Source organism: Homo sapiens, chromosome X (assembly GCF_000001405.40).
Source record: "Homo sapiens chromosome X, GRCh38.p14 Primary Assembly".
NCBI classification, from domain to species: Eukaryota; Metazoa; Chordata; class Mammalia; order Primates; family Hominidae; genus Homo; species Homo sapiens.
In genome coordinates, this window is record NC_000023.11 from 111,876,035 (window position 1) to 111,904,016 (window position 27,982).

Sequence of the window (27,982 nt, forward strand, 5' to 3'; positions counted from 1 at the left end):
GAAAAAAAAAAAAACTAGAAAAGACAAATGTGGCAAACAAAAACTGCAGGACCATAGTTGGAAGAGGTTTCTGAAGAGGTGGGAGCTATCTCTTAATTATGTAGACGGAAGAGGAGGTTACCTACCATGTGATGAAAATTCCTACCATTAGAGAGGTAAGCCTTTGGATTACAGCTCTGATGTTTCTGGTAGCCATCTTTTTCTAATATCTCTGTGAAGGTCAACCCCTGACTCCTAAGGTGAGTTGCTTCATAAACAATTTACCACTTGCAAGTCTATGAGAGAAGACAGAGGATAGGTAAGTTTTCCTGAGAGAGGAAAGGATGAGCTCTCTCTCCTCTAGGGAAAGCACTTGCCTTCTTCTCCTGGCAGTTTTTCATTTTTCATAATCTATATTGGGCACGCCGTACCCCTTATTCAAGTGGGATACATATTTCCTGTCACTGATATAAACATCGTTTATGTAAATTCTCTTTTTCCTTGCCAGTCTGAGATGGAAAGCCTATGGCTCTTGCAGCAGAGGTAATTAGGGAGTAGGGCCACAGATCAGTTAAGACCTAATGCCCTGAGGGAACCAGTGAATTCTCTCTCAAGTTTAGTTTCTGTTTAATATGACTTCCAGATGATTCTGTTTCATATGAATATCAAGGCTTTAATGAGTCTCTACCACCCAGAATTCCCTGGCAATATTTACTTTCCTTAACTGTGGTTATCATATACTTCTCTGAAGAAATGAAAAGATGCAAAACTGGAACCGACAAACTCAGTTCCTGGCTTCTCAAGGGTATGGTGGTGGTTTTTGTTTTGTTTTGATTTTCCCTTTCACTTAGAGCTCATATTAATACTCCGTGTATTTTAGTCATTCATAACAACATTTCTTAGGTGTCATATTGTGTAGTCATCATGCTCAAATGCCTGGGAGCCTGAGTTTAATGCTGTTCTCGGAGTTCATTCTGTAAAACTTCAATATTGATTAGAAAAATACTATCTATGGATGATCACATTTGTGTTTCAGAATGATCAATCTTTGCAGTTTGGAAGATGAATTGGCAAAAGGGATGGGAGTAGGGTGATAGCATGGCTGGAGGCAGGTGGACTGATTGAGTCTACTGTAATTGTATAGGTTAGAGGTAATAAAGACCTGAATTAGAGCAGTGGAAGTTGAAAGGAAGTGACGTTAAAGAAGATATTTTGGAGATAAAATTGACAATATCTAGCAATCAGTTGCATGAGTAGGTGGAAGGCAAAGAGGAGTTGAAGTTTATGCAGAAGGAGGATATCTCTGCTACAAAATGATGGAGAGGAATTAGGAGCTCATGAGGAAGAATGGGTTTGGAACAGACACTGTTGAGTTCATTTTAGTTGTGGTGACTTAGTGTTCTGGTTTGCTTGGGGTTGAGGGAATTCCGAGGACACGGAACTTTCAGTGCTAAAACTAGGTCCTGGGTAAACCTCAAGTTTAGGATATGTTGGATTTGAGGTATGTATGGATGGTGTTCAGCAGGTGATCAGGCAGGTAGTGTGGTGTGTAGGAAGGACATCAGAGTCAGAGTCAGAGGCACAGCTTGGGGAGTTGCCTATATAGAGATGATGGGTAAAACCATAGGAGTTGGTATAATAATTAAGGAAAAATGCATAGCATGAGATTGTAACTACTGCAAATCCTTTGTGGAATGAGAAGGGACATAAATGAATGAATAAAATAATTAAGAGGAAACGGTGAGAGAGAAAAAGGCAGCAGGCTGGAGGTGGTGGCACACCTACCTATGTAGGTTGGCTGTAAAAAGAAACCTGAGGCTGAGCCACGAGAGGTCAAAAGTGGACCAGAACACAATGATGATGTCATAGAAGTCAATAAAGAGCGAAATTTTTAAAAGATGAGGGTTGATGTAGATTAATATTTGAGGATAGATGATAGGTTCTGGTGATTAAGAAAAATAATTTTCTATGGAGTCCTGAAATCAGAATACAAGATACTGATAGAGAGTGGGAAGTAAAGAAGTATGGGCAGCAAGCTTAGATTCATCTTTCTGCCAGCAGTGAGGAGAAGGGAAAGAGTAGTAGCCTCCTTCAAACATCAGCTCAAGATCCAACTCTTCTTGGAAGTTTTCCTGAACTTCATATGCCTGCTGTTCTCCCCCTTCTATAATGTAAGCATATATCAAAATATCACATTGTATCCCATAAATAAATACAATTATGTCAATTAAAAATAAAATAAAATTTAAAAATGCTCCTATAATACCCAGAGGCTAGACCACACTGTAGAAAAAGAAAAAGAAAAAAAAAACTAAGTGATAAGTGATATACTGCATTATTTCCTGATTGCTTCAGTGTGATTGGCTGATCTCCCTGTTAGACTCTAAGCTTCCTTAGGGCAGAGACTATGGATTATTTAGTAAACCACAGTGCCCACAAGAAAGACCTTCAGAAATATTTGCTGGTTGTTAGGATGGAAAGATTCTTCAGGTCAGATTTTCTTAACTTGAACACTATTGGCTTTGGGAGCTGTATAATTCTTTATTCTTGGAGACTGTTCTGTGTACTGTAGGGTGTTTAGTATTTCCCCAGCCTCTACCCACTAATTGACAATGGCACCTCCCCTCAATCGTGACAACCAAAAGCCTCTCCAGACATTGCCAAATGCTCCTGATGGGCAGATGGGTGGGTGGAGGGGTGGTGGAGAGGGAAATCAGTCATGAGAACAACTGCTTTAGGTGATCTGGGCCTAGTCTGTTTATCCCTTTGTCCTTCAGCAGGGGCAATCCAAATTCTTCCTTGAGTGAGAAACACTATTACCCAGTTCACAGCCTACAGAAAGACATGTGTAACCTTCTTGGTTATTTGTTTTCAATTTTGAGACCCTTAAAGGCATTCTTTTCTTTGCTTCTCCCTGGAGTGAGTGAATGGCTCCATACTTGCACTTAAACAGCAAGTACTGAAACAATGCCAACATACTTCCCTTATGATCCGGAATATCAAAGTTAAGCTAGAAAGAGGTCTAGTTACAGCAGCGGTGTGTAATGTTTCTGCAACAATAAGGGAAGTATTTATGAATTTGTTCATACAGTGCAACTAATAGTTAATAATACTTATTCTTTTCAAAGCATCTTTCAAATATGAGATTGTAACTCTGCTGGTAGCCTCCTCAGAGACTGGCCAGAGAATGGAGACATCAGAAAAAGAGAGGGTTGTAAAAAAAAGGTAGAGAAGGTTTCAGTGCTCATTCAGAGCAGAGAACTCAGGAGACGTTGACTCTCGTTCTTCAGGTTGAACTTGAAATGTCTTCCTGAGACTTTATGTATCATCCCAATGGGGCCTGTGGTCCCAGGAAGATGTTTATTTGTTATGGTCACAGGGAATGAATGGATGTGGGTTAAGCTGAACTAGGAGTGAGAATAAGTAAAATCCCTGATCTCTCACCTTTTCCAGGCTTTGGTCCTTGCTATTGCCCTTGAATCTTCTTACTGCCCTATGGTGAAGTCCAATAAACCAGTCAGCACATCTTTATCAAGTACCTGCTAAATACTCTTAAGACACTAAAGAGTGATGCATCCAAATAAAAAGAATCGAGGTTGTGCAAGGCATAGCTCATTCTTCCTGTTTCTTAACAGAGCATGGCAATTTATTGCAGTAAGCATTTTCCATCTTTTCTCAGGTGTTGTCCCCATGACAGCCCGAGATAGGCATGATTAGTATCTATCCTCTTTTTACAGAGAAAGAAATATGAGGCTCATTCAGGTTAAATCATGCCAGGGGCATATAGCTACAAGGTGACAAGAGCTGAGATTCAAGCCCCCATCTGTTCAACTCTAAAGCCTGTGGCTCTTATCCATTGTGCTAGTGTGATTTAGGATTTACTTATCTAGTCAAGTTCCTCTTCATTTTTTTTTTTCTCAAATGGGTAAGTGATTCCACTTTATAGAAGGAAGAACCGAAGACCAAAAAATATAAATGACTTTCTCAGAATGACGTGGTAGTGGTGGTGGTGATGTTAGGAAAAATCTCTGTTTTCATATTTTTAAAATGAAGATTATATTCATTTGTTGCTGCTTTTTTTTTTTTAACCACATGGCTATTTTCCTACAGCTATTCTGTCGTTGTAGGCTTTGCCTATCACATCTGTCCTTGCCCTGTAGCATACAGATTGTTTTAATCTAGGCTTCAACTCATGGCTGTGCAGATCCTCTCCTGATTTTGTTTGTAGAATGAGAACTCCATTAGGTTAAGGGTTGTGTCTATATGTGCTTGCCATCATATTCCCAGTCTCAGGATAATATCTGGCACACAGTAGGTGATTAATAAATATTTGTGGGATGAATGAATGAATGTGTTAACTTTCTAGTTCTGGTGCCCAGATCAGTTCTTTTGACATACTGCTATACATAGCTTAATGTAAAGACTGGTTACATCCCACAGCCACAGGCCCTGTCTGGGCACTGTCCTGTGAACAGAGCTGCTTACCTGCTTTGCTCTGAATAGTACCTACAAACTTCAGTTAGTCCATGCAGGACTGATACCTAAGTCACTGTGTACTTGAAAAGGTTAATAGGACTGTACAGGCCTATGTAAGTTTAACTTATAACTTGGTACAGATGACAAAAATGATTAGTTGGGCCAAAGTGAACTCCTAATGTGCAATGAATCAAATGCATTTTACTAGGAGGTGTATGTATATACAAATACATGCTCCCAAACTAAATAATATAGCCAAGGTTGGAACCAATTACCAGTCTTTCATCACTAGGAATCCATGAAGCTAATAGACAAGAATGACTACCTATGCTCTGGTCTGGATTTATCATCCTGTTGTTGGGTCATTAACCAAGTATTTCAGTATCTTATAGCAGGCCAAGCCAGCATATATCAGACTGGCTACTTCCTCACAATGGAACTGATAACTAACTGTGGAGAGTTCATAGGTTCTACAAATGCTCAAAGTTCAGCTTGGTGAAGCTTACACTCCCGTTACTGCAATTCTAGTGCATTGGTGATCTCTCTTCTAAAATGCCAATTGCACATTGTGGGCAAAACCTGTAGATTCACCTCCTGTACTGTACTTAGGAATGCTATGTTTTTTTGTTGTTGCTGTTGTTTTGTGATTTTCTTTTGTTTATTTTATTTTATTTTATTTTATTTTATTTTATTTTATTTTATTTTTGAGACAGAATCTCACCCTGTCACCAGGCTGGAGTGTAGTGGCACAATCTCTGCTCACTGTAACCTCCACCTCCCGGGTTCAAGTGATTCTCCTGCCTCAGCTTCCCGAGTAGCTGGGACTACAGGCACGCGCCACCACACCCAGCTAACTTCTTGTATTTTTAGTAGAGATGGGGTTTCACCATGTTGGCCTGGATGGTTTCAATCCCTTGATCTCATGATCCACCTGCCTCGGCCTCCCAAAGTGTTGGGATTACAAGCGTGAGCCACTGGGCCTGGCCCGCTATGTTTTCAGTTTGTTACAAATTTGTTACCAAATGTCGGTGTCCTAGAAGAAGTTGCACAGACCATTCTGATTGGCAGAAATAAAAATATACTCCCAGGTGGAGTGTTACATACATGAGTATCCCCTGGTTTCTTGGGGGTGTCAATTCAGGGTTTGCTTGCTGTTTTATACTATAAATACATCTGGTTGCAAAGGGACTATAAGCAGTCTGTTTCCTGTCGCAGTGTGGTTAAGGTAAGTAAACTGCCAATTGCTCATTAAGGGCAAAAGCAGTAGAGTCTCCTCCCCTACTGAGGAATGCTATGTTCTAAGTTTGTTACAAACTTGTTACAAAATGCTGGTGTCCTGGAAGCAGTTGTACAGACCATTTTGATTGGCCGAGATAGAAATATACTTCTGGGTAGGGTGTTACATACAAGAGTGTTCCCTGGTTTCTTGAGGGTGTCAATTCAGGGGTTGCTTCCCGTTTTATCCTATAAATACTTCTGGCTGCAAAGAGCCTACAAGCAGTCTGTTTCCTGTTGCAGTGTGGTAAGGTAGGTAAGAAGATCTCTCTTCTAAACTGCCAATTGCACATTATGGGCAAAAGCCGTAAAGTCACCTGCTGCTGTACTGTACTCAGGAATGCTATGTTATGTTTTAAGTTTGTTACAAACTTATTACAAAATGTCAGTGTCCTGGAAGAAGTTTTACAGACCATTCTCATTGGCTGAAATAAAAATATAATTCTGGGTGGAGTGTTATATAAAAGAGTATCCCCCTGGTTTCTTGGGAGTGTCAATTCAGGGGTTGCTTCCTGTTTTATACTGTAAGTACCTCTGGCTGCAAAGAGCCTACAAGCAGTCTGTTTCCTGTTGCAGTATGGTAAGGTAGGGGTCTTGTCTCTGACTTCTTTATGACCCAGAGTACGGCCTGAAACTGCAGGATAACTGAGGTAATGGCAGATACAAACTGGAGGAGCTGAGGGCTAGAGGTAGTATATTATTGAGGTGATCCTTACGAAAGAGTAGCTGCAATTTAGCCAAGGTCTGATGACAGCTTAATCAAGACAAGGCCAAGGCCAAGGTCTGGTTAAGGCCTAGCCAGCACCTCAGCTTAGATAAGGCTTACCTGAGGCTTAAGCATAGTTAAGCTCTAGCCATGAACTTGGCCAAGACCAAAGCCTAGTTAAGGCTTGCTCAGCCCAATTAATGCCAAGGCAGCTTGGTTACAATCTCACCAGGGGCTAAGCCCACCTAAGGCCTACTCAGATATCAGTTAGGTGGAGACAGAGTCTAAGTCTAGTTAAGTCCTAGTCGGCCCAGTTAAGACCTAGTCAGAGCCGGCTGGGCGCTGTGGCTCATGCCTGTAATCCCAGCACTTTGGGAGGCCAAGGCAGGAGAGTCACCTGAGGTTAGGAGTTCAAGACCAGCCTGACTAGCATGGTGAAACCCCGTCTCTACCAAAAATAAAAAAATTAGCCAGGCATGATGGCATGCTCCTGTAATCCCAGCTACTCAGGAGGCTGAGGCAGGAGAATCGCTTGAACCTGGGAGGCGGAGGTTGCAGTGAGCCAAGATCATGCCATTGCACTCCAGCCTGGGAAACAGAGCAAGACTCTGTCTCAAAAAAAAAAAAAAAAAAAGACCTAGTCACAGCCTAAGCCTACTTCCGGTCTAGATTGCACAGTTAAATCTAGTTAGCTTGGTTAATACCTCATTAGGATATTGTTAAAGCATAGTTGTTGCCCAAGTCTAGTTTTGGTCCAGTTATAACCCAATTCAGCCCTAGGCAAGGCCTAAGCCTAATTTCGGTCTAGTCAGAGCCTAGTTAAGTTCTAGTCAGCCCAACTGGGACCTATTCAGGGCCAATGCCTAGTTAATGCCTAGTCAGCCCAGTTAAGCCCTAGCCAGAGTCTAAACCTAGTTAAGTTCCAGTCCCAGTCTACTTAAGTCCTAGCAAGATCATAAGTATAGTTTAGTCCTAGTCAGAACTTAGTTAAGACTGAGTCAAAGCCTTAGCCTAGTTAAGGCCTAGTTAGCCCAGTTAAGACCTAGCTAGAGCCTAAGCCTAATTCAGGTCTAGTTAAGCCAGTTAAAGCCTAGCCAGGGCCTAAACATAGTTAAGAGCCTGTCCGAATTTTGATAAAGTATAGCCAAGGACTAAGCCTAGTTAAAAGCTAGCTAGCTTGCTTAAGACCTCATCGGTGTATTGTTAAAGCATAACCAATGCCTAAACTTAGGTTAGGTCTAGTCAGAAGCCAGTTCAGCCCTAGCCAGGGCCTAAGCCTAATTTAGGTCTAGTCAGAGCCAGGTTAAGCCCTAGCCAGGGTCTATGCCTAATTATGTTGTAGTCCTAGTCTACTTAAGTCCTAGCAAGGTCATAAATATAGTTTAGTCCTAATCAGAACTTAGTTAAGACTTGGCCAGGACCTAAGCCTAGTTAAGATGTAATGAAGCCTAATCAAGGTATAGGCAGGGCTTCAGCCTAGTTAAGTGTGAGTCAAAGCCCAGTTATGGCCTAGCCATTACCTAACACTAGATTAGACTTTGTTAGAGCCCAGTTAAGGCCTAGTCAGGGCTTAAGCCTAATTAAGGTGAAGTCAGAGCCTAGGTAAGGCTTAAGTCTAGTTAAGTATTAGGCAGAAACTAGTTAAGGTATAGCCAGGGCTTACATTTATTTAAGGCCTGGCTAGAGTTTTATTAAGGTACAGCCACAGTGTAAGCCTAATTAAAAGCTAACTGACTTGGTTAAGGTATTATCAGAGTATTTTTAAGGACTATTCATGTCCTAAGCCTAGTTTATATTTAGTCAGAGCTAGTTAGGGGCCTAGTCAGAGCCCAGTTTAGGCCTAAATCTACTTAAGTATTTAATCAGAAACTAGTTAAGGTAGTGCCAGGCCCTAGCTTATTAAGGCGTAAACAGAGTCTTTTAAAGGTATACCCAGGGCCCAAGCCTAATTAAAGGCTAGCCATCTTGGTTAAGGCCTCATCAAAATATAGTTAAAGTGTAGCAATGGCCTGAGCCCAGTTTAAACCTAGCCATCCTAGTTAAGGCCTAACCAGGGCCAAAGCCCAGTTAAGGTTTAGTCAGAAGCCAGTTGAAGCCTAGCCAAGGACTAAGCCTGGGTAAGGTCTAGTCATAACCTAAGTTTAGATAAGGCCTAGTCAGAGTCTAGTTAAAGTAGAGCAAAGACCTGAGACTAGTTAAGAGCTAGTTAACACAATTAAGGCCTCGTCAGCCCAGTTAAAGACTAGCAAGGGCCAATATTAGTTAAGGCTTAATTAGTCCAGTTATAGCCTATCCAGTGGATAAGCCTACTTAAGTCCTAGACAAAGCATGGTTAAGGCCTATCTAGGGCATAAGTCTAGAGGAGACATAGAGTTTAGTTAAGGTATAACCTGGACCCAGTTAAGGCCTAGTCAAGGTCTAAGCCTAGAAAAGCTGTGGTCAGACTTTAGTTAAGTTCTAGCCAGAGTTTGAGCCTACTTAGGGCCTAGTCATCCTAGTTAAGATCTGGCCAGCCCAGTTAAGGCCTATCCAGGGCCAAAGCCTAGTTAAAGCTTAGTCAGAGTCTAGTTAAGGCAAATGCAGGCCTTAAGCCTTGTTAAAGCCTAGTCAACTCAGTGAAGGTGGAGCCAGGCTTATGCCTAGTTAAGTCCTAGCCACAGCCCAGTTAGCTTAGCCAGGGACTATGCCTAGTTAATATCTAATCAGTCTAGATAAGGCATTGCCAGGACCTAAGTCTAGAGAAGGCCTATTCATTTCTAATTTAATGTGTAGCAAGGGCCTGGGCCTGTTTAAGGCCTATTTAACCCAGTTAGGTCTAGAAAGGACTAAGCTTAGTTAAGTCCTAGTAAGAGTCTAGTTAAGGCAGAGCCAGGGCCTAAATCTAGTTAGGACCTAGTCATCCCAGTTAAGGTCTAGTGAGGACATTGGCCTAATTAAAGGTTGGTCAAGACTAGAGTGCCCAACTCATCCTAGTTTTCCTAAGATTTTCTATATTTAGCATTGAAAACTCTGGGTCTTGGAAAACCCCTTATTCCTGGAAAATCAGATTGGTTGGCCACTCTAATCAAAGGGTTTTTTTTTTTTTTTAAAAAAAGAAAACTTTTCTTTGTCTTGGAGTTCATGGCTTATAAAACACATTCATAACATTATCTTGTTTGATTATTATGGCATCCACTTGAGATAGGTGTCAACATCATCCTCAAAATATAAATGAATAAACTCAGGTTTAGAGAGAATAAGTACCTTCTGCAATGCCATACAATTAGTATCAGAAGTGCAGTTTAAATCTATGTTTAAACTCAAAAGCCACACTTTTTTACAAACTAAATCAATAGGGCATCTCCCCATAATTAAACATTGTCTACATCACAAAATTAATACTTGCTTATTGTCATCATCCTTATTTCTGATCAGGAAAGTGAGTCATATTGAGCTTAAGTGAACTAAGGCAAGAAAACTTTTAGACTTGAACCTAGGTTTCTCTGCCTCCAAAGCCAATATTCCCCTTAAAAATAATGTTTTTTTTCTGCCAGGCATGGTGGCTCACACCTGTAATCCCAGCACTTTGGGAGGCCAAGACGGGTGGATCACCTCAGGTCAGGGGTTCGAGAAAAGCCTGGCCAACATGGTGACACCCTGTCTCTACTAAAAATATAAAAAATAGTTGGGCATGGTGGTGGGCGCCTGTAATCCCAGCTACTCAGGAGGCTGAGGCAGGAGAATTGCTTGAACCCCGGAGGTGGAGGTTGCAGTGAGCCAAGATCATGCCATTGCACTCCAGCCTGGGCGACAAGAGTGAAACTCTGTCAATAAAATAAAATAATGTTTTTTCTTCCATCCGGCCTACTTCCTCAGTGTCAGATACTTCAGTACATACCCATGTAGCCAAGGTTGTTGTATGTTTCTTCATGTTTCAGTGATGTTTGCATCCATGTATTATCTAAAATCTGTTAAGTGTTTGGTAGATTATGCTTGCATTGACACTTCTTTTTTTTCAGCCTGAGGTTTATTTATTGAATTGTTGCATGCTGTTTCATTATGGGATATTTGTTGAGCCTTGCAGCAGAGTTGACTTAGTAGGGTCAAGCCTCAACCACTCGATTTGGCGTGATCTTGGAAAAGACAGTTCTGACAAGGGCACTGAAGACAAACCTGGTCTATTCAGTAATACTTCAGAGGGTTTCTGGATATACCCCTGGTATAATGACATTCTGGAGGCCAAAGAAAGAGATCAAGGCCTCCCTCTCTGGTACTGTGGATTCAATTGCCAGAAGGTACCGAGGACTTGGCTTGCCTTTTTCTGACTGTGCCATTTCTGTCGCCTCCTGTGAGCTTACCAGGGGTGACAGGCATCTCTATTAAAAAGCCTGTATGTAAATATAGCTGCATCTTCCACTATGTTATCCTGAGGACAAAATAGTTGCCACCCCTGCAGAATGCAGCAGCTTCTGGGTTAGATGCCAATGGTAGCAGTATGCCAAGCATGAAAGTATCTTGTTCTTCCCCTGCCAAGTAAATACCAGCTTCCTGTTTGGTGGTACATTTAAAGGGACAGTCTCCACTCTTTGCATGTGCCAGTGGCAATGGGGCAAAGCTTTCAACATGGGCAGTTAGTGGCTTAGATGGTGGCACAGTGAAAGAGGCCACTGGGATATATGTTATGTTGCAGATGCCTTTTTGGACTCTCACATCTCCCTTTATGCTATTACATTGCTTTGGAGAACTGTTTGGTTTAGTGGGTAATGCCAGAGGAAGGCAGAGCTAGTTAGGAAGAAACAAATAATTTATTCCACTAAGTAGATGGGATATTCAAATGTTGCTTTCTTTCTTTCTTGGAGAGAGTGCCATTTGGGAATCATTTTCTCTCATATTCACAAGGTGATTCCCCACATAAGCTCAGGTCTTTGATTGACTTCGCATTTGCTGGTGAAACACATTAAGCTTCAAGGCACTGGGTTAGTGGCACAAGCAGGGCATGTCCCCTTCCTAACAAAGAATCTGGAAGGTCTTTCCTCAAGGACTACAGGCTTTGCAGTATAATATTGGAGGCTACAGAAAAAGGGTACAAAACTAGGTTTCTGGTTTTACCACATTCCAGCTATGTAGAATAGCTCTTGGGTAGATCATTTTACTACTCTGGATTTTAATTTTCCTAAATGTGAAATGGAGATAAATTCTGTGTTACCCTACCCACCTCATATAGTAATTAAGATGATTAAATGGGATACCATGTGAAAGCACTAGAAACATAAAACGCTATAAAAATGTAAGGAATTATTAGTCCTTACAAATTATTAGTCAACAAATATTTACTGAATATCTTCTATGTGCTAGACACTGTTCTTGCACTTAGACAAAACAGAGATCCCTGCCTTCATGGAGCTTACATTCTAGAGAGGAAAACCAGAAAATAAATGATCATCATAATAAATAAGTAAGCTATACAATATGTGTAGAAAGTGATACGTTTCTAAGAAAAATTAAAAAGTTAGAGCGGAATAAGGAAGACTCAGGACTGCCAAGTTGGGAGGGGGAGGTTAAAATTTACAAAGGTGGTAAGTGAAATACTCATTGAGAAGGCAAGATAGAAGCAAAGAGATTGAAGAAGGTGAGGGATTTAGCTCTTTTGATATTTGAGTCAAGACCATTCCAGGCAGAATAGCCAGTATAAAGAACCTAAAGAGGAAGTGTGCTTGGTGAATTTGAGGAATGACAGACCAGAGCAGCTAGAACAGAGCAGGAGAGAGAAAAATAGAAAACGAAGTTGCAGATTATATTATGCAGGGCCATATAAACCACTATAAGGATTTGGGTTTTATGCTAAAGGAAATGCAGTTATCAGAGGGTTTTAAATGGAGGAGTGACATGATCTGACTTCCATTTTAAAGGGATCACTGTCGGTCCTGTTGAAAAAGAGACTGTAGCTGGGCGCGGTGGCTCATGCCTGTAATCCCAGAACTTTGGGAGGCCGAGGCGGGCGGATCACGAGGTCAGGAGTTCGAGACCAGCCTGGCCAACATGGTGAAACCCCGTCTCTACCAAAAAAAAAAAAAAGAAAGAAAAGAAAAAAAAAATTAGCCAGGCATGGTGGCAGGTGCCTGTAATCCCAGCTACTTGGGAGGCTGAGGCAGGAGAATGGCTTGAACGTGGGAGGTGGAGGTTGTGGTGAGCTGAGATCATGCCACTGTACTCTAGCCTGGGTGACAGAGCGAGACTCTATCTCAAAAAAAAAAAAAAAAAAAAAAAAAAGAAAGAAAAGAAAAGAAAAGAGACTGTAGTGAGGCAAGGCAAAGAGACTCCTGTCAGGAGGCTGTCAAAATAATCAAGGTGAGATGTAGATGATAGTGTGATGGTGTCTCACAATGACAAGTGATCAGATTGTGGATATGTTTTAGTGGCAGAGCCAACAGGATATCCTGGCGGATTGACTGTGGATTTTTTGGCCTGAGTAGTTAGAAGGATAGAATTACCATCTACTGAGATGGGAGGCTGTAAGGGAGTAGGTTTTGGAGAGAGTACCAAGGATTTAGTTTTGAATGTACTGTGTTGAATTTTACAGGAATCAATGTAATGAAAGTAGATAAACAAGTATGAGATTTTGGAGAAAGGCCTAAGCTGGCTAAATAAATTTGGGAGTCATCTGCCTATAGGTGTTATTTGCAGCCCATATGAGGTCACCAAGAGTGTGACTATAGATGAAGAAGAAGAGGACTTGGGGAGTGATTGGCCATGTTAAAGGCTGCTTATAGGACAAGTAAGATGAGACGGAGAGCTGATAATTGGATTTAGCAATGCAGAAGTCATTGGTGACTTTAGCAAGGGTAGTAAGGTGGAGTGGCCATAATTAAAAGTGTGTTTCAGGACATATGTATTTAACCTTGGTAATATCAGTCATAAGAGATGAGAGAGAAATTTTGTTCCCATTGAGTGAGCCTGCCTTCAGATTCCCCTGGCTCTAGCTAATATTAAAAAAGAAATCTTGTAAGAAATCCTATAAGGAAAACTCCATTTATCTTTTCACTTGAACAGCATGCTGGTTTAGTATTGGGAGGGCTCATGCCAGAGGACTGTGTTGTAACCCTGATGTGCTTTTCTGAGTGTCAAGCATATAAAGCAATGGGATTCACTCTTTACCCATGTTTAAAATGCTAACCCTTGGCTCCCTTAGAAACTTTGGGAGGTAGAGGTATGAAATCCTCAAGGGGAAAGGAAGTTCATGGCCAAGGGTAAAGCATTTTTTTTAGGATATTAGGAAATTTTTTTCTGCCTCATTTTCTTCAATTTATTCTGAGTGTATCTATCTCAGAGGTAAAAATAGAGAAGTTAGAAAGCAGCAAACCACATACTCTTGTCTTATTTTTTATTTTCATGGATCAGCATATGATCTTAAGGTGATTTTAATGTTCAGCTAGGCTTTTTGTATCTTTTCTTTTTAGTAGGGCTTTCTACTGTAGGAACACTCTGGGAACGATAGTATGTAGGGATGACAATAATGAAATGGTTGTCCTCAAGGGGACTTTTGGCCTTTGATCCACTTGGTAAGCAAACTATCATGGCTATACAGTCAGCCCTCTGTATTGTGGGTTCTGCATCCATGGAGTCAACCAACTGTGGATCAAAAATATTTTTAAAATATTGCATCTGTACTGAACATGTACAGACTTTTTATTCTTGTCATTATTCCCTAAACCAATATTGTAAAACAAACTATTTACATAGTATTTACATTGTGTAAGGTATCATAAGTTATCCAGGGATGGTTTAAAGCAAGCTTGTCCAACCTGTGGCCCAGGACAGCTTTGAATACGGCCCAACACAAATTCATAAACTTTCTTAAAATGTTATTAGATTTTTTTCACAGTTTTCTTTAGCTCATCAGCTGTCATTAGTGTTAGTGTATTTTATTTGTGGCCCAAGACAATTCTTCCAGTGTGGCCCTGGGAAGCCAAAAAACTGGATACCCAGGCTTTAAGGTATATGAGGGAGGATGTGCATAGGTTATATGCAAATACTAAACCATTTCATATCAGGGACTTAAACATCCACGGGTTTTAGTATCTGTGGAAGGTCCTGGAACCAATCCTCCTGTACACCAAGAGACAAACATTGTGTTCTTGCTGATATCTTAACACTGGTTCTTATTCTGCTAGTGATGTGGAGGTTCCCAGAGCATCATTAGTCAGACCAGGAGTCTGAAGAAGGCCAAGAATCCGAAGAATCAGGTTCTTTTTAAAATTAAATAAAAAATTTTAACTTTTATTTTAAGTTCAAGGGTACAAGTGCAGGTTTGTTACATAGGTAAACCCATGTCATGGTGGGTTTGTTTTACAGATTATTTTATCACTTAGGTATTAAGCCTAGTACCCATTAGTTGTTTCTCCTGATCCTTTCCCTCCTCCCACCCTCGACCCTCTGATAGGCCCCAGTGTGTGTTGTTCTCCTTTATGTGTCCATGTGTTTTCACCATTTAGCTCCCACATATAAGTAAGAACGTGAGGTATTCAGTTTTCTGTTCCTGTTAGTTTGCTAAGGATAATGACCTCCAGCTCAATCCATGTCCCTGCAAAGGATATGATCTTGTTTTTTATGGCTGCATAGTACTCCATGGTGTATGTGTACCACATTTTCTTTATCCAATCTACCATTGATGGGCATTTAGGTTGATTCCATGTCTTTGCTATTGTGAATAGTGCTGCAATGAACATAATGTGTGCATGTATCTTTATGATAGAAGGATTTATATTCCTTTGGGTATATACCTAGTAATGGGATGCCTGGGTCAAATGGTATTTCTGTCTTTAGGTCTTTGAGGAATTGCCACACTGTCTTCCACAATGGCTGAACTGATTTACACTCATACTAACAATATATAAGCATTTCTTTTTCTCTGCAACCTCACTAGCATCTGTTATTTTTTGACTTTTTAATAGGAGCCAAGAAATCAGGTTCTTATTCTTGCTCTGCTACTAACCAGCTGTGCAATCTTGACGAGTCAGTTACCCTCTTTGGTTCTTCATATCCTCAATTGTAAAATAGGTATAATCCTTGCTACACAGGATTATTTTGTTTATTTTATTTTTTTATTTTTGAGATGGAGTCTCACACTGTCGCCCAGGCTGGAGTGCAATGGTGCGATCTCAGCTCACTGCAACCTCCGCCTCCCGGGTTCAAGCGATTCTCCTGCCTCAGCCTCCAGAGTAGCTGAGATTACAGGCACCCACCACAACGCCCAGCTAATTTTTTGTAGTTTTGTAGTTTTGTAGAGACGGGATTTCACTATGTTGGCCAGGCTCGTCTTGAACTCCTGATCTCGTGATCTGCCTGCCTTGGCCTCCCAAGGTACTGGGATTACAGGAGTGAGCCACCGCGCTTGGCCGCTACACAGGATTATTATAAGTTAATGTATGTGAACATATTTGAGGATATAATTACCAGAAGAAGGAAACTATAAAATATTTGAATGAGTTACCAAGGGATGCTATGGAATGTTATTTTGAAATCATTAAAAACAGAAGGGCCTTTCCTTTGGTGGACAGGCATTAAGCACATTTGCAGGCAGAGGGAAGCAATCTGTAATCGGTGATCATCTTTCCATGTGGTAAAATAAACTAACCTGTTCTTTCTTGGCAAGCTGGCATTTGCCACAGAAACATAGAGGAGGCCACAACTGGTGCTTAGTCTTTCTCTTATCAAATTTCTGAGATATATTCCTGAAGTTAGGGACTAAATCCATGCTAGGATGGTATGAAGTAAAAAGTATACGAAGATGTTTGCATAATGCTCTCCTTCTTATCCAAATGATTCACAAAGGAATACTTGAAACTTTGGGTTGGTTTGGGTGAAGTCATGCTAGATATAGGATAATGGACCTTTATTATCTTGTCTCAATGACCTTGCCAATTACTTTCCAAGTGGATGTTTCTAAAGATTTAATGCTTTGAAAGAATCATTGTCACAATACGAGGTGGAGGGCATTCTCTGTGCAACTGGCAGTGTGTTGGAGGCATAGCCAATGTGTAGCCCACAATATAGTTAGCTTTCGCCAGGCCAGGAGTGGTGCATGTGAGCTGCAGCCCCACCAGAGCTCAAAGCCAGAATAAGGAAGTGCTTCAGAGGAAGTTAGACTAGGAGGATTTGCTAATCCTCAAGGATTCCCTACAGTCTTTGATTGTTCTTAGGTCTCCTGAAAGGGTCATTTGTGAACTACAGCTTCAAGACAGTCCTGTTCCCTCACATTTTTACCCAAGCTCAAAGTCATCATCTAATATTGGTTCTAACTATGAGATGAATTGTGTCTCTGGCATGTCCTTCCAATTTTTGTAATGCCTGCAGCCATCTCTTCTCCTGTCTTCCATGGGCAGCTATTCACTAGTCATGATGTACCACATACTATTTCCTAGATCCTGGAATTTCTCCAGTGCAATTATATCAGCTAGCATTTATTAGGTGCTAATTATATACCAGACACCATTTTAAATTCGTTGTGCTAACTAACTAATGTAATTCTCATAACTGTCATTATCTTCATCTTACAGATGAGGAAACTGACACAGAGTAGCTTAGCAACCTTCTAGTTAGTAAGTGGTGAAGTTGAAATTCAAATATAGGGTTTTTTTTTTTTTTTTCGGATACCAGATCCTATTCTTATAACCACTAGTATCATTTTATATCTCTCCCAAAAAGCATATACAAACAAACAACCACAACTTTTTTTCCCTCTCAGAAAGCTGAAGAAAGACTTGGAAATAGAACCCCTTTTCCTGTTACCTCCAAGTTCTGTTTTTATTTCCCTTATTGTAGACCCTGTCATCTGCGCTGTAATATTTGAAAACCAAAAAAATCTTTCTAGAAGTATTACATCTCTTTCCAGACTCTCTAAGGGCCTGGGAGCCTCTCATAGCAGCCAAGCCTCAAGGACAAGCCTGTGTAGGGTCCTACCAGGTTAAGATTGAGTGTCTATTCTCATGTTTGAACAGTGTTTTGAGGAAACACTGTATCTGTCTAGGAAAATAACCAAGATGTATTTTCAAAAGTAGTTGTATTTTTCTACTAAGTTGTTTTTCTGAAGGGTAAGCCAGTCTGTGATTTTTCTCTGCAGCAATGAACAAATTTGGAGGAGGAAAGAAATTCAGTAGAATTTGGTTTAAATTGACCATAAGGACATTTCCTACTCCCCCTTTTTTTAGTTTTAGTTTTGAATTTTTCATATATTTTCAAGAAGGGGCCATGTTTAGCTCCTCAGCTGCACAATTCTTTCCTTTCTTTCTTGATAAATTAAAGATGCTTCATGGGGATTTTTAAATGTCAGATCCTATAACAGGCAAATGCTGTATTGCACACAGTTATTTTTTTAAAGGCAAAAGTTTGTAGCTTTTTCAAAAAGAGTTTAAAGTGTAAATACTCTTTTTTATTCATTGTATTCCCATAGAGATGCTTCTGTTATGTCAAAATTGTGAACATTTGCCCTTTGTGGATAAAGTTCTCTTGATGTTTCCTCAAGGGGTGAAGAGGGTAACGAGAAGTTATATGTCTGTAGGTGTTTTTTAAAACAAGCTATATTGAATGCATGTATCCAAATGGTACTGCAGCACCGGAGAAGGGAACACTATGGAAAAAAATTTTCCTGTTTGTAAATAGGAATCTGGCACCCACCCTCACCAAAGGTGCATTTTAATCTTTCCCACATAACTGCCTCTGTTCTCCTTGGATATGAACTAATTTACCTTACCTAATACAAAGAAGCTTATCAACTATAAAGATAGACCCAGAGGATTTGGATTTCTTTGCTCCTTTTCCATCCTACTGTTAGACACTTATTGCCAGTTTTCCAGTTAGGAGCATTGCAAAATTGCCAGGTAGGACTTTCAGCTAAAAGAAAAATGGTGACTTTTGATTAGTTGTGCAGACAAAAAAAGTCCCAAGAGAGGTTAATAAAAATTCAATGGGGTCAAAGATCTCAGTTACCAGATGGATAGTATGGCCTCTGCCTCAGGGGTCTTTATGAGCTACTTGTAAGATATAGGTTATCTCATCTTGTATCAATTAAAAACTCGGCCTAGCTATCAGGGTCTCTTGCCTTAGCACTGCCATGAAGTAGAGAGCCACACAGGCCAAAGGGACACTGCCCTGCACATTCATATTTCATTCCATTTTCATTAACTTTGATGACTGGCTTGCTGAATCCTGGTAAGACTCTTATCACTGTCTTGCTGTCCTCATTAGTTTTTATAGGATGTAGGCCTAAAATTTAAAAAATAAAACTATTTTTTTTGAGGTATGGCATGCATATAGTAAATTGCGCAAATTTTAAGGGTGCATATCAATGCTTTTATTTTTTAACATATGTGATTATATCAAGATATAGAACATTACCAGCACCCCAGAAGGCTTCCTCATATCCCTTCCCAGTCAATAACCCCCTACCCAGAGGTAACCACTTTGTTCCCGTAGATTTGTGTGCCTGTTCTTGGATTTCATGTAAATGTAGTGATATGGTAGCTAATTTTATGCATCTGGTTGATTTCAACATTCTTGTGCCTGTATCTTGGTGGATATTTGTACGCTCTTTGGTTATATACTTAGGAGTAGCATTCCAGGGTCATGTGATAGAGGTATGATTGGTTTTAGTAGATACTGCCAAATAGTTTTCCAAGGTAGTTTTACCAGTTAACAATTTCACCAGCAATCTATGAGAGTTCCAGTTGTTCCATGTTTTCAGTGCTTGGTATTGTCAGTCTTTTTCATTTTAGCTCTTCTGGTGGGTTTTGCATATCTCATTGTGGTTTTAATTTGCACTTCCCTGATGAGCAATAGTGATGAACACCTATTTATATGCTTGTGAGCCATTCGGATATTCTCCTCTATGAAGTGCCAGTTCAATTCTTTTATATTTTTTAAAAATTAGATTGATTATGTTTTTCGTATTGATTTGTAGTTTAAAAAATGTATGAATGTAGTGGATAGAAGTCCTTTGTTAGATATATATTGTGAATATTTTATCCCAGTCTGTGGTTGGCTTTTTATCCTCTTAAGGTATAATTAATTAATCTTTTCTTTCATGGTTAATGTTTTTTGTCCTCTGGGAAATATTTGCCTACCTAAGGTCATGAAGAGTTTCTCTGGTGGTGTGATCTAGAAGCTTTGTTGTTTTGACTTTCATTTTTAGGCCTATGATTCATTTCAAATCATTATTAGTATTATTTTGGTATCTGGTATGAGGTAAGGGTCATGGTTCCATTGATTTATTTGTCTGTCCTTGAGCCAGTACTACGCTGTCTTAATTTCTCTAGCTCTGTAACTAGCCTTGATATCTGGTAGCATATGTCCTTCAATTTGTTCTTCCTGAAGATGTTTCACTATTACTAGCCTTTATTTATTCTTATGCATTTTAGAATCACTTTGTCCAAATTGCCCTTTGGGAGTGGTTTTGATCTTTTTGACTCATTAGTTTTCCCTTTGTCCCTCTAACTTCAAAATCTAGGTAACCTTTTAAGGTGGAGACCGGTGGCCTGTTTGGGGCAGTTCCCCTCTAGAGGGAGAATTTGTCTCTGAAGTACCAGGAGACTGCAGGAGATTTTCCTGTGCTTTTCCTACCCAGACACCAGCCCAGAACTCAGGTGACTTCAGGTAAGAAAAACTAGCCCTGCATTTTGGGCTTCTCAAGTTTCCAGCCCATTATTTTAGTGTCTCCCAATGGCCCAAAGTTATGCTCATTTCTCCTTTCCTCAGGAGAGTCCTTCTGCCTTACAGCCAAGCTTCATCTTCAACAGTGCCCAGAATTAGCAAATGCCACAGGAAAGGAAAAAAGCCCCTGATTGTCAGTTCACTTAGAAAGGGCTCTTTAATCTCGTCCTTGCTTATCCTTAAACCTATCGATTTCGCAATTTATCTTTTTTTTTTTTGGTGGGGGCGGGTGTGGTTTTTTTTGTTGTTGCAGGAGCGTTCACATCCTGTTTGGAAACAAAGTCTGCAAATTGTTTAATAGGCCGAGCCTTGATATCCGCATCCCTCTCAGCTCTATCACAGGTAAGTAGTTTATGAACATTTGGGCCAATTCAGTAGGTCAGTGGAAAGATAGGTAATGGATATATCCCTGAACCTCCCAGTCACAGATATTGGGGATTTCCTAGGGGACTGATCTGCCTAAGTCACATTCAACTTGGAATTCAGCCAGTTTCTAGGGATAGCAAATGACATTAACATTCTCAGTTCTATTCCTGCTTAGGAGAATGAGATGTCAGCTCTGGCCCTGAATAAGGCAAATTTGCTCCTGTAGTCACCTAAATTTGTGCCCTCTAGCACAGGACTTTAGAAGTCCGACCTGGGCTGACATCCAGCTCTGCATCTTTACTTATGTGATCATGGGCAAATTACTGAATCTCTCTAATCCTCAGTTTTTCCACCTATAACTTCATAGGCTGATTTTATTGTGAGGATTAAATGTACTACAGGTTGAGTATCTCTAATCTCAACATTTGAAATACTAAATGCTTCAAAATCCAAAACGTTTTGAGCACCAACATGACACCTTTGCTTTCTGATGGTTTAGCGTACACAAACTTTGTTTAGTGCACAACATTATTAAACATATTCTATAAAATTACATTCAGGCTATGTGTATAAGGTGTTTATGAAACATAAATGAATTTCATGTTTAGACTTGGGTCCCATTCCTAAGATATCTCATTATGTATATTTAAATACTTCAAAATCTGAAATCCAAAACACTTCTGGTACCAAGCATTTTGGATAAGGGATACTCAACCTGTAATATAAGAAAAGTGGGTTTTACAGTCCTTGACACACAATAGGTCTCCCATTAATGTGACAATTTATTAGAAAAATTTTTATGGGTACATCATTGCATCTGACATATGCTTTCAGAGGCTGGGGATTGTGCTTGGTTACTTTTTTGAGGGGAGTAAAATTTACATATAGTGAAATGTACAAATCTTTAGAGTACCATTCAATGAGTTTTGACACACGCATTCTCCTGTGTAACCCACAACCGTACCTAAACATGATCATTACCATCACTCTAGAAAGTTCCTTTATGCCCCTTCCCAATCAGTTCCTACTCCCATAAATGCAAGCACTATTCTGATTTCTTTCTACATAGATTATTTTGCATTTTCTAAAATTGTATATGGATGGAATCATACAGCATATAATCTTTTGTGTCTGGCTTCTTTCATTAAGTATAATGTTGATTATTCCTCCATGTTGTTGTCCCTCTCAGTAGTGCCTTTCTTTTTATTGCTTATTAGTATCACATTGTGTGAATATACCACAGTTTGCTTATTCATAATCTTCTTGATAGTTACCTGAGCTCTTTCTACTTTTTGGTGATTATGCATACAACTTCTATAGCTATTCTTGTAAAAGTCACTTTGTGAACTTTCACTTAATTTGGGTAAATACCTATGAGTAGAATTGCTGGGATATAGATAGGTGCATGATTAGTTTTATAGGAAACTGATAGATGTTTTTCCAAAAACATAATATGATTTTATGCTCCTACCAGTAGTATAAATGTGTGTGAGAATTCTGGTTCCTCTACATCTTTGTCAATATTTGATGTTGTCAGTCTTTAATTTTAGCCAATCTACTGAGTATATTGCGGTATCTTAGTGTGATGTCAATTTGCATTTCTTTGATTACTAATAATGTTGAGGATGTTTTCATGTGCTTATTAGCTCTTCATTTGAATTGTCTGTTCAGATCTTTTGGCCATTTTTAAGTTGGGTTGTTTGTCTTTTTATTATTGAGTTGTAGGGGTTCTTATATATATATATATATATATATATAGACACACACGCGTGTGTGCGCACACACACACATATATCTGACAATGAACTTTATATATTCTGGTTGAAAGTTCATTGTCAGATATATATTTTGTGAATATTTTCTCTCAGTCTCTGGGTTGCCTGTTCATTTTATTAACTGTATGATTTGATGAGTTTGTCCATTTTTGTATCCCCTGTTTCCCACATGCATGGTTGAAGCTTGATAATATTTACTGAATGAATGAGCTGAAAGTTGTTCCTCCCTCCCTCCTTCCATTATTTCTTTTTTTCAAAGACACTTACTGATTATATACTATGCTGGCAAGCACTCTTCTGTTCTTTGGGGATATAGCAGAAAACAAATCAGACAGATTTCTTAGTCTCATGACAATTACATTTTAGTCTATATGTATGTGGGGGTAAGGTGAGAGACAGAAAAACAAATAATTAAGCAAGAAAATGTGAGCTAGTTATAGATACCATCATGCAAAAATGAAATTTGTGTGTAATGGGAAAGGAATGATTAGGGGCTTTACCCAGGTTGAGGGGTAAGAAATCTGAGGAGATAATATTAAAGTAGATATCAGAATGACACGAAATCATTCCCCACTCCTCCCCCACCAAGGAGAAAGGGATCCCAGGCAGAGGATATAGCTAATAAAAAGTCCCTTAAAGTGAGTTAAGGCTAGGCATAAACTATCCAAAAGACCCCTTTAGGCTAGTTAAGGTGTCCAGAGTTGGTTGCTTTGGAAATTACCATAACTGGCATAAGCTGATGCCACACTCTTACTCTTTCTTATTATTGGAATACTTAGCAGTTTCTTCAAGTTTCTCCTTGCCCTCTCCTCACCCACTAGTTGCTAAATTCTGAGATTGAGAATAAAAAATAAAAAAAAAGCTAATACAAGGGTCAAGAAAGTTAAGGCAAGGTCACTAATTTTTTTTCCCATCAAAAGTGACTGAGTCCCCCGCCCCACAAAAAAACTCATGGGCCACATAAAGTAATAAGTAACTACATTTCTCTTATAAGAGAGCAAAATATGGAATGTTCTACCTCTCTGCTTTTTATGTTTAGGTTGTGTAATGTACAACTCAATAAATACAATAAAAATTTGATGAATCAAATATAATTTATTCCAATTTTTTTCCAGTTTTAGGAGAGAGAGACAAGAAAAGATGATGGAAAAGGTTAAGAGTAGATGGAGATAGAGAGGGTGTGAAATAGAATGAAACACATAAGTGAATAAATGGAAGCATATTGATCAAGAGGAGGAATAAAAGAGTCCCAGAGGAAGATAGAGAAGCTGAGAAAAAAAACTGGGTGAATGGGAAGTCAGAAGTTAAATAGGTTTTGTGTGAGTGTGTTCCTGTCATCTTCTTGTGCCTTTGGGCTGTATATACCATCTAGTAGTTATTGCTTCCTTTGAAAAATGTGATGGTGCTCTCTTACAATATTTAACACACATCTTTCTTCTGTGTTTTCCTTCTGATGAGCTGATGCATGTTCTAAATAAATGCCAAATTCCTTTCCTTGATTTCTCTCCATATTTTCTTACATGAGACGTTTTTCTCTTAAATCAAACAAACAGATCCTTTGAATTAATAAAACAAACTGCTCTGCCTCTAGTACCCGTTCTCCTATATTCCATATGGAAAATTGCCTCCAACAAAATCGTGCCTTCTGGTCATTATCGTTGTGACCCTTATCATCAGGACAAACCCCATGTGTACTGGTAGGATTTTGGACAAAAAAAAAATGTAGTGATCTGATAGGACTTAGGCTAAGTGGAGATACTATACAACTGAGTGGGTCAAAAAAGGCCCTGTGAAGACCAGCAAGCTGTATGTGCAAATCACAGACCATCTGGCTGATGATTTTCTGTACTCCAATAAATATTCAAGGATTATAGTCAGCTGAAAGTGAAGCCTGTGGCTTGCTGGGCCCCACTCTGGTCAGAACTGCTGAAAACTGGGCAATAATAGACTTGGTAGAATCCTAAAGGAGTTATATAGATGACTACTTCCTAAGACTTTCAACTAGGAAAAGCCTGACTGGGACTGGAGAAAGGAAGTTAGCCCAATTTACAGAATTAATAGCCAGAAATTTAACATGTAGATATACCCAAGAAAAAAACTGGTCAAAGGTATATAGCTACACTGATCAGCCATATAGACCTGGACTATTGCAGGAAAAACAATCTGGTGAAGGGAGATATGAAAATAAATTGGTGAAAGAATTTAGAAATTCTTATAAAGACATGTGTCAGCTCATTAGAACAGAAAAGCAGAATAATCTATTTGGAATGAGAGGGGAGATAATCTAGGCCCCCAAAACTAATGTAGACCCTGAAGCTTCGGGGACTTTAAGTTTCAACTCAGCTCCCTTTTCAGTTCAATTTAAGGTTGTAGGATGGGCTTGTGAAACCTCAGGGCATATGGGCATGTATGTGCCAGGTTAGCAGAGAAGAAAGAGTTAGAAAACCTGTGAATCAAATAAACAAGTGAGTAAGAAATATGAGTGATATCAAAATATTAAAAACTTCTTGCATCCTCAGCAGATTCATTTTAAGTGTGGTGGGGAGTGGTAAACCAGACAAATGTAGCAGGTAGATTATATTGAGCCAATATCTAGATTTTCAAACAAATAATATTGCCTTACACAAATATATACTTACTCAGAAAGTGGGTTTGCAAAGCCCACTAGACACGCAGATGAAAATAGTACAACCATGGCTTTAGATAAAGTTGGAAGAACTAGCTGCTAGATATGGAAGTGGGGCAGTAATAGGAAATTATCAAGGAACTAGTTTTATAACTGAAATTCTCCAAAGTTTGGCAAAATATGGAGAATATAGGACTTTCATTTACCATAAACTCCCCAGGCTGCAGGGCATCTGGAAACTTTAATGAATGGATTCCTAGAAACACAGAAAGAATTCAGCAGCACCCAGATATAAATGGCAATGAGGCAAAGGTGCTAATAATTGACAGACCCTGCGTGAGTGTATCCTTCCTCAAAAGAGATGCTCAAGAAAGACAGACAAACTACCTATACTCACTTTTCTCCCAAATCTCTTAACAAGAGATAAAGACCATGAGGTTTTCAAAGGAAAGAGAAGTAGTAGAGCCTCACAAGGCCAGCAACAAAGGAGGGGCTATAGTTAGACATATCGTTTCAACCTTAACAGCAATTCTTGATAGGGGTAACCAGTAGCCATAGCCTGTAGGATGGATAAAGGCTCAAAGATACTAATCTTTATATCTCTCTTTTTTATTATTAGGTCTGCTTTGCTGTTTTCTCTTGGCTGTGACAGTCCGCCTGATGGTCATTATAACAGCAGTTCACCATTAGTACAAACAAGAGTACCATACATAAATTCTGTGCGCGGTTTACCAACATCATCAAAAAGTTATATTGTTCTACTGTTCTCATTCTTTACTTGATCACCATCATAATCATATCAACATCCTAATTTCTGGCCTAAACCAACCACAGAACCATTGTTAGCCCCTTATACTATCCATTGTCACCAAGAGTCCATTTGCTAGAGCTTTTAGTGATATTTTATCTATTTAGAAGAGCACTGCAGCATGGATTCTGTGTTAATTCATGTACTCATTGATGGACTTGTTGCTTGTGTAGCCCAGTTAATAAGAATAGCTGATGAGCTTTTACAATTCATTCTACAAGTACAAGAAGTTCCTTATGTAGAAGAAAATGGTAGAGCAGAAGAGACTGAAGCAGATGCACCTCTTCCCGAGGAGCCTTCGCTACCTGATCTCCCTGATCTCTCAGACTTAGACTCAATACTTACACCAAGAGAGGATGAAGACCTAATATTTGATATAGATCAGGCTATGTTAGACATGGATAACTTATATGAAGATACAGTCTCTGGTATAAATGATGACTTAACAGGTGACTAAGACCCAATTTCTGCCCCCGTCCCCAGGGATGTGAAAACTGATCATTTCTCTGTTTTAATATATTCTTATTTTCTGTATATTAGCAATATGTGTTTTCTCATAGTTCTGCACATTTTCATTACTAATAACCCATATAACAAGTGAGATTTGATTTACTTCTAGCAAAAGCTGGTCTTTTTTCATCTTTGTTGTTATTCAGAAAGTTCTGTCTTTTGCCATGTAGGTCTCCCTTTACCTGTACTTACTCTCATGCTAGAATTTCTGATGATGGGAGCAAACAATAGTAAAGAAAAGAAATTCCTTGCCTAATTATGGAGTGGAGAACTGACGAACTCTATCACATCTTGGGACTAATTTCACTGCTCTCCAATGAATGCAAATGAAAAGGGGAATATCCCCCAGGGTAGCATTACAGTAAATGAATACATTCACATTAACAAGACAGTGTTGGGATACTTTTATTTGAAAGGATATAACTCCTTACTTATCCTTTAAGAAAGCATGTGTCCGACAAAAAATGCTATAGCAGACTAAGGGAGGTAATTTTAAAAGAGTACTATCTACCAGATAATAAAAGTGAAGAAAGGTTTTCAAATGACTGTTGCCAAGGAGAAAACTGAAAAAGCTGGGACCAAGAGTTCCAGTGCAGGACTGTTCTTGCAAATTCTGACCACATTGTAGCTACTTTGCACTATTATTCCCCAAATGGAAAAGGCACACTATACCAAATAATCAAAGAGAGAAGTAATAGAAGGGCTAAGCAAAGCCCTACAAGGACTATTCACCAATGGAAAGACAAACACTCACCATATTGGACTAAATATCTATGGACTAGATATAGTCCTTAGGCATCAAAGCAGGAAGATGCTACAACCCCATAATATGTGGAGCTGGCTGGACCCTTGTTTTCCTGGGTCACCTGAACAGATTGTACTGTAATGGTACCTCAGGAACTAGATAAGATATATTCCAGTGTTTGCTTTGATTCTGTAATTTTATGTGCTTAAGGATTGTTAAGATATAACCCCCGCTCCAAGGAATGGATTGTTGTATTAAGTATGTTTGCTCTATGGAGCAGAATTAGAGTTAATAGTGAAAAGAAATATTTAGGAAATAAGAAAATATTTAGGAACAAGAACTAGTGGGGACGGTGTTTTCAGGAGAGAGAAGCAAATTAATAAATTGTCAACAGTTATGCGACGGTTTATGATGGAAAGCCATGATATGGAGTTAGTTTCTAAACAGGTTTATGAACAAAGCCCTGTTTTTGTCTTCTGCAAATTAGCCAACCCTAAGATGTTGCTATAAACAGCTGGTAGGCGATTGACATAAGTCATGTATCTGAAAGCTCAATTAGATGGAGAATTATTAACTAGTTTAGTCCACTGACTGGATATCGCTGATTGAAATCCTGCATCTCCTCCAGGAGAATGGAGTGAGTGGCTGATCCTTTATGCAAATTAGCCCTTTTCTGTATCTTCTTAAGACCAGTGTTAAAGCCAATTATTATATAGCATGGCAGAAAAGAGAGGGGCTCATCATTCTGAGACAAGCTTAAAGGTGTGAAAATCAAGGAAGATAGGCTGGTAGATGGCATTAGATTAGGTAGTACAAGTTTTCATCCCTATTTGTTTGGGTTAAAATATGTGGGGAGTTGTGCCTATATAAATTCTTATGTGTGATGATTACTGCTAGTTATTATCTTATGATTGTTTACAATCTGTATTAGCTATTGATCTAAACCATTTTATTGTTTTCTTTCAAGAGATTTTAACTAATAAACTTTCATTCACAAATCAAAAAAACGTGTGGTCATCTTAAATTACCTGGT

At 39.3% G+C, this 27,982-nt stretch overlaps 2 protein-coding genes across 6 annotated transcripts in view; one reads left to right on the forward strand and one right to left on the reverse strand.

Annotated features, from left to right (window-relative positions):
* TRPC5 (transient receptor potential cation channel subfamily C member 5) overlaps window positions 1-27,982 on the reverse strand; it is a 314,766-nt gene that overhangs the window by 108,024 nt on the left and 178,760 nt on the right. The window lies entirely within an intron of this gene.
* TRPC5OS (TRPC5 opposite strand) lies at window positions 17-27,956 on the forward strand. 3 transcript variants are annotated; one of them, NM_001195576.1, is made up of 4 exons: window positions 17-155; window positions 19,917-20,062; window positions 20,373-20,461; window positions 25,506-27,956. In NM_001195576.1, the coding sequence occupies exon 4, from the start codon at window positions 25,816-25,818 to the stop codon at window positions 26,149-26,151; it is 336 nt and encodes a 111-aa protein (NP_001182505.1). In that variant the 5' UTR covers window positions 17-155; window positions 19,917-20,062; window positions 20,373-20,461; window positions 25,506-25,815; the 3' UTR covers window positions 26,152-27,956. The 3 variants fall into 3 exon arrangements, with proteins under 3 accessions (NP_001182505.1, NP_001182507.1, NP_001182506.1); NM_001195578.2 differs by having other exon boundaries at window positions 147-239; NM_001195577.2 differs by lacking the exon at window positions 17-155 and adding an exon at window positions 5,863-5,982.